A 6,404-nucleotide genomic window follows, 5' to 3' on the forward strand; every position below is an offset into this window, starting at 1 on the left:
ATCCAGTTTTCCCAGCGTTATTGAAGACACTGTTCTTTCCCCAATGTATACTCTTTGCACCTTTGTTGAAAATGAGTTCACTATAGATGTACAGATTTGTTTCTGGGTTCTCTAGTCTGTTCCATTGGTGTATATGTCTGTTTTTATGCCAGTACCATGCTGTTTTGGTTACTGTAGCTCTACTAGTTGGTGGGTCTGTCATATATGGTTTTTATTATGTTGAGGTATGTTCCTTCTGTATGCAGTTTTTTGAGAGTTTTTTTTTTAATCATGAAGGGATATTGAATTTTATCCACTTAATTTTTTCAGCAATATGAAGTCAGATAATGTGATTACTCTAGTTTTGTTCTTTTTGCTCAGGATAGCTTTGGCTATTCTGGGCATTTTTGTTTCTATATACATTTTAGAATTGTTTTTTCTATTTCTGTGAACAATGTCATTGGTATTTTGATAAGGATTACATTGAATCCCTAGCTTGCTTTGGGTAGTATGGACATTTTAACAATATTGATTTTTCTAGTCCATGAACATGGGCTCTCTTTCCAGTTGTTTGGTGTCCTCTTCAATTTCTTTCATCAATATTTTATAGTTTTCATTATAGAGTTCTTTCACTTCTTTGGCTAAGTTAATTCCTAGGTATTTTAACTTATTTATAGCTATTGTAAATGAGATTACTTCCTTGATTTATTTTTCAGATTGTTTGATGTTGGCATATAGAAATGCTACTACATTTTGTATGTTGACTTTGTATCCTGCGACTACTGAATTTTTAAAATCAGTTCTAAGAGTTTGTTTTTTGGTGGAGTCTTTAGGTTTTTCCAAATATAAGATCTTATTGTCTGTAAACAAGGATAATTTGACTTTTTCCTTTCAAATTTGGATGCCATTTATTTCCTTCTTTTTTCTGATTGCTCAAGCTAGGACTTCCAGAACCATGTTGAATAACAGTGGTGAAAGTGGACATCTTTGTTGTCTTCCGAATCTTAGAGGAAAGTCTTTCAGTTTTTCCTCATTCAGGATGATACTAGTTGTGGGTCTGTCATATATGGCTTTCATTATGTTGAGGTATGTTCCTTCTGTATCCAGTTTTTTGAGAGTTTTTTTTTTATCATGAAGGGATATTGAATTTCATCCACTTTATTTTTTCAGCATCAATTGAAATGATCACATGGTTTTTGTCCTTCATTCTGTTGATATGATGTATCACGATTGGTTTGTGTATGTTTAAACATCATTGCATCCGTGGGGTAAATCCCACTTGGTCATTATAAATTATCTTTTTAACGTGTTGTTGAATTTGATTTGTTAGTATTTCCTTGAGGATTTTTGTATCAATGTTCATCAGGGCTATTGGCCTCTAGTTTTCTTTTTTTGATGTGTTTTTTTCTGGTTTTGGTATCAGGGTAATGCTGGCCTTGCAGAATGAGTTTGGAAGTATTTCCTTCTACATTTTTCAGAATAATTTGTGTAGGATTTGTGTTAGTACTTCTTTAAATGTTTGGTAACATTCAGCAGTGAAGCCATGGGTTCCTCAGCTTTTCTTTGCTGGGAGACTTTTTATTATGGCTTCAATCATGTTACTTGTTATTGGTTAATTCAGGATTTGGATTTCTTCATAGTTCAATCCTGGGAGGTTGTGTCTAGGAATGTGTCCATTTCTCCTAGATTTTTCAATTTATTTGCATACTGTTGTTCATAGTGGTCTCTAATGATCCTTTGACTTTCTGTGGTGTCAATTGTAATGTCTCCCTTTTCATTTCTGATTTTACTTACTTTGCTCTTCTCTCTTTTTTCTTAAAATTCAGACTAAAGCTGTGTCACTTTTATCTTTTCAAAAAATCAACTTTTTGTTCCATTGATCTTTTGTATCGTTTTCTTCATTTCAATTTCATTTATTTCTGCTCTGATCTTTATTATTTCTTTTCTTCTACTAATTTGGGTTTGCATTGCTTTTGCTTTTCTAGTTCTTTAAGATGCATTGTTAGGTTGTTTAAAGTTTTTTCTACTTTTTCATATAGGTGCCTATAGCTATAAAATTTTCTCTTAGTACTTCTTTTGCTGTATTGCATAGGTTTTGGTATGTTGTGTTTCTGTTATCATTTGTTTTAAGACATTTTAATATTTCCTTCTTAACTTCTTCATTGACCCACTGGTTATTCAGGAACATATTGTTTAATTTCTATGTGTTTGTATAGTTTTCAAAATTCCTCGTTATTGATTTCTGATTTTATTCCATTATGATCAGAGAAGATACATGATATAATTTCATTTTTTGAATGTTTTAAAGACTTGTTTGGTGGCCTAACACATGATTTATCCTTGAGAATGACTCATGTGCTGAGGAAAATAATGTGTATTCATTCCGCAGCTGTTGGATGAAATTGGTCTATAGTGCAAAGTAAGTCTGATACTTCTTTGTTGATTTTCTATCTGGAAAATCTGTCCAATGCTGAAAGTGGAGTGTTGAAGTCTACAGATAGTATTGTATTGGGTTCTATCTATCTTCAGCTCTAATAACATTTGCTTTATATATCTGGGTACTTCAGTGTTGGGTGTATATACACTTAAAATTGTTACATCCTCTTGCTGAATTGACTCTTTTATCATATTGTGACCCGTGACTGCCTTTTATAGTTTTTATATTAAAATCTATTTCGTCTGAAATATAGCTACTCTTGCTCTTTTTTGGTTTCCATTTGCATGGGATATCTTTTTCCATCCCTATATTTTCAGTCTATCTGTATCTTTGTAGATGAAGTGTGTTTCTGGTAGGCAACAGATCATTTGTTTTTTTTTTTTTTTTTTAAATCCACTCAACCATTCTATGTCTTTTGATTGGAGAGTGAAATCCATTTACATTCAATGTTATTATTGATAACTAAGGACTTAACCTGCCATTTTGTTATTTGTTTTCTGGTTGTTTTGTGGTCCTCTCCTCTTTTCTTCCTTTTCATCTTCCTTTCAGTGAAGGTGATTTTCTCTGGCAGTATGTATCAATTTCTTGCTTTTTATTTTTTGTGTATCTGTTGTACCTTTTTTTATTTGATGTTACCATGAGGCTTGCAAATAATATCTTATAACCCATTATTTTAAACCAATGACAACACTAACTGCATAAACCAACAAACAAGCAAAAAAGACAAACTGATAAAAACTCTACACTTTAACTTTGTCCCCCTACTTTTAAACTTTTTATTCTTTCTATTTATATCTTATTGTACTGTGTATGTCTTGAAAACTGGTTGTAGTTATTATTTTTTATTGGTTCAGCTCTTATTCTTTCTCTGCAAGATATGGGCAGCACAATTACTGTGTTATAATATTTTGTTTGCCTGTGTACTTACTATTACCAGTAAGTTTTGTACCTTCAGATTTCTTATTGCTCATTAATGCTCTTTTCTCTCAGATAGAACTCCTGTTAGCATTTCTTGTAGAACAGGTCTGATGTTTATGAAATCCCTCAGCTTTTGTTTGTCTGGGAAAGTCTTTATTTGTCCTTCATATTTGAATGATATTTTTGCTGGATATAGTATTCTAGGATAAAAGTTTTTTTTTTTTCTTCAGCGCTTTAAATATGTTATGCCACTCTCTCCTGGCCTGTAAGGTATCCACAGAGAAGTCTGCTGCCAGATGTATTAGGGCTGCATTTTAAATTATTTGTTTCTCTTGCTGCTTTTAGGATTCTCTTTATCCTTGACCTTTGAGAGTCTGATTATTAAATGTCGTGAGGTAATCTTATTTGGGTTAAATCTGCTTGGTGTTCTATAATTTTCTTGTACTTGAATATTGACATCTTTCTTTAGGTATGGAAAGTTCTCTGTTATTATCCCTTTGAATAAACTTTCTACCCCATCTCCCTCTCTATTTCCTCTTTAAGGCCAATAACTCTAAGATTTGCTCCTTTGAAGCTATTATCTAGATCTTGTAGGCTTGTTTCATTCTTTTTTATTCCTTTTTCTTTTGTCTTCTCTGACTGTGTATTTTCAAATAGCCTGTTTTCAAGCTCACTAATTCTTTCTTCTGTCTGATCATTTCTGCTGTTAAAGAACTCTGATGCATTCTTTAGTATGTCAGTTACATTTTTCAGCTCCAGCATTTCTGCTTGATTATTTTTAAATATTTCCGTCTCTGTGTTAAATTCATCTGATAGGATTCTGAATTCCTTCTATTTTCTTGAATTTTGCTGATTTTCCTCAAAACAGCTGTTTTGAATTCTCTGTCCGAAAGGTCACATATCTCTATCCCTCCAGTATTGGTCCTTGGTGGCTTATTCTGTTTGTTTGGTGGAGTCTCGTTTTCCTGAATGGTTTTGAAGCTTGTGGATGTTCATTGATGTCTAGGTATGAGATTTAGGTATTTACTATAATCTTCACTGTCTGGGCTTGTTTGTACCTGTGCTTCTTGTGAAGGCTTTCCAGGTATTTGAAGGGACTTAGTTGTCATAATTTAACTTTTTGGTCACTGTAGCTGTATCTGCATTAGGGGGTACCCCAAGCCCAGTAATGCTATGGCTCTTGCAGATTCATAAAGGTACCACCTTGGTGGTCTTGTATAAGATCCAGAAGAATTCTCTAGATTACCAGGCAAGACTTACTCTCTTCCCTTATTTTCTCCCAAATAAATGGAGTCTCTTTCTTTGTGCTGAGCTGCCTGGAACTGGGGGAAGGGTGACACAAGCACTTCTGTGGCCACCACCACCGCTGGGACAGTGCTATGTCAGATCTGAAGCTAACACAGCACTGGGTCTTGCCCAAGGCCTGCAGTAACCACTGCTTGGCTACTGCCTACGTTCACTCAAGGCCCTAGGACCCTACAATCAGTTGCCTTCCATTCAGGGTAGCAGAATTCCTTTTGGCCCCAGGCAGGCCCACAGATACCATCTGGGAACCAGGGCCTGGAGTTGGAAACCTTAGTAATCTACCTGGTGCTCTATTCTACTGTGGCTGAGCTGGCACCCAAGCCACAGACAAAGCTCTTCCAACTCTTCCCTCCCTTTTCCACAAGCAAAGGAGTCTCTCTCCATGGTCACCACCACCCGAGGCCCATGGTGAGTACCACCTGGCTACTACCAGTGTTCACTCAAGGCCCAAGTGTTCTTCAGTCAGCTTGTGTTGAGTGCTGGCAGTCCTGGGACTCTTCCTTCAGGGCAGTGGGATCCCCTCTGGCCCAGAAAAGGTCCATAAATGCTGTCCAAGAGCCAAGGCCTGGAATCAGGGACCTCAAAAGCCCGCTTGGTCCTCTACTCCACTGTGGCCAAGCTGGTACTTACAGTGCAAGGCAAAGTCCCCTTTATTCTTCCCTCTCCTTTTTTTTTTTTTTTTTTTTTCAAGCAAGAGTCTCTGTCTGTAGGCACCACAGCTGGGAATATGCAGGGTCACACCTGAAGCCAGCACATCTCTGAGTTGCACCCAAGGCCTATGGTGAGTACTGCCTGGCTATCACTGCTCACTACTCAGGGCCCAAAAGCTCTTTAGTCAGCAGGTGATGAATCCTGCCTGGACTGGGTCCTTCCTTTTAAGGCAGTGGGTTCCCTTCTGGCTCAGGGTGTGTCTAGAAATGTTGTCCAGGAGGTAGGGCCTGAAGTGGGGGCCTCAAGACTCTGCCTGTTGCCCTGTGCACTATGGTTGAGCTGGTATCCAAGCTGCCAGACAAAGGCCTCTCTACTTTCCTCTCCTCTCCTCAAAAGGAAGTAGTCTGTCCTGGAGCTGCAAGCTGTGCTGTGTGGAACTGGGTGAGGTGGCTGAAGTACTCCTTTGGCCAGCCTGGTTGGTTTCTCACTAAGTCATGTGTCTTCCAAGTCCACTGATTCCACGCCCAGCCCAACTTGTTGTCCAGAAATTGCAGTCCTTGTGGCCTAGACTGCCTTTCAAGCTTATTTAGGACCCAGAGCACTTCGGCCTGTGGTGGCAAGTCTTGCCAAAATTCAGGTGTTGACCACTGAGACAGGCAATTCCCCTCTGGCTGGGGCTGGTCTAAATGCTCCCTCCATGGGCACTGAGTTCTGTCTGGTGTTGCTTTCTGCTGTGACAGGGCAGCACTGAGTTTTAATGCAAAGTCCCACAGTCACTGCACTCTTCATCCCCCAAGTGCACATTCTCTTGCCACACCATGTGGCCGCTGCCAAGGGATGGGGGAGTGGTGGCATCAGCAATTCAAGACTGTTTTTCCTACCCTCTTCAGTGCCTCTTTCAGTGGTAAGTTAAAACTAGGTACTGTGATCTCTCATCTGATTTTTGGTTCTTATGAAAGTGCTTTTTTATACGGATTGTTGTTCAATTTGGTGTTTTTGTGGGGAGAATGATTGGTGGAGGTTTCTATTTGGTCATCTTGTTCGGCCTCTACTGCAAAATGTTAATATTTTTAATGTCATTATTTACAATATTAAGGTAAAAGAAAAACTTGCA

Source organism: Homo sapiens, chromosome 5, assembly GCF_000001405.40.
Source record: "Homo sapiens chromosome 5, GRCh38.p14 Primary Assembly".
NCBI lineage: Eukaryota > Metazoa > Chordata > Mammalia > Primates > Hominidae > Homo > Homo sapiens.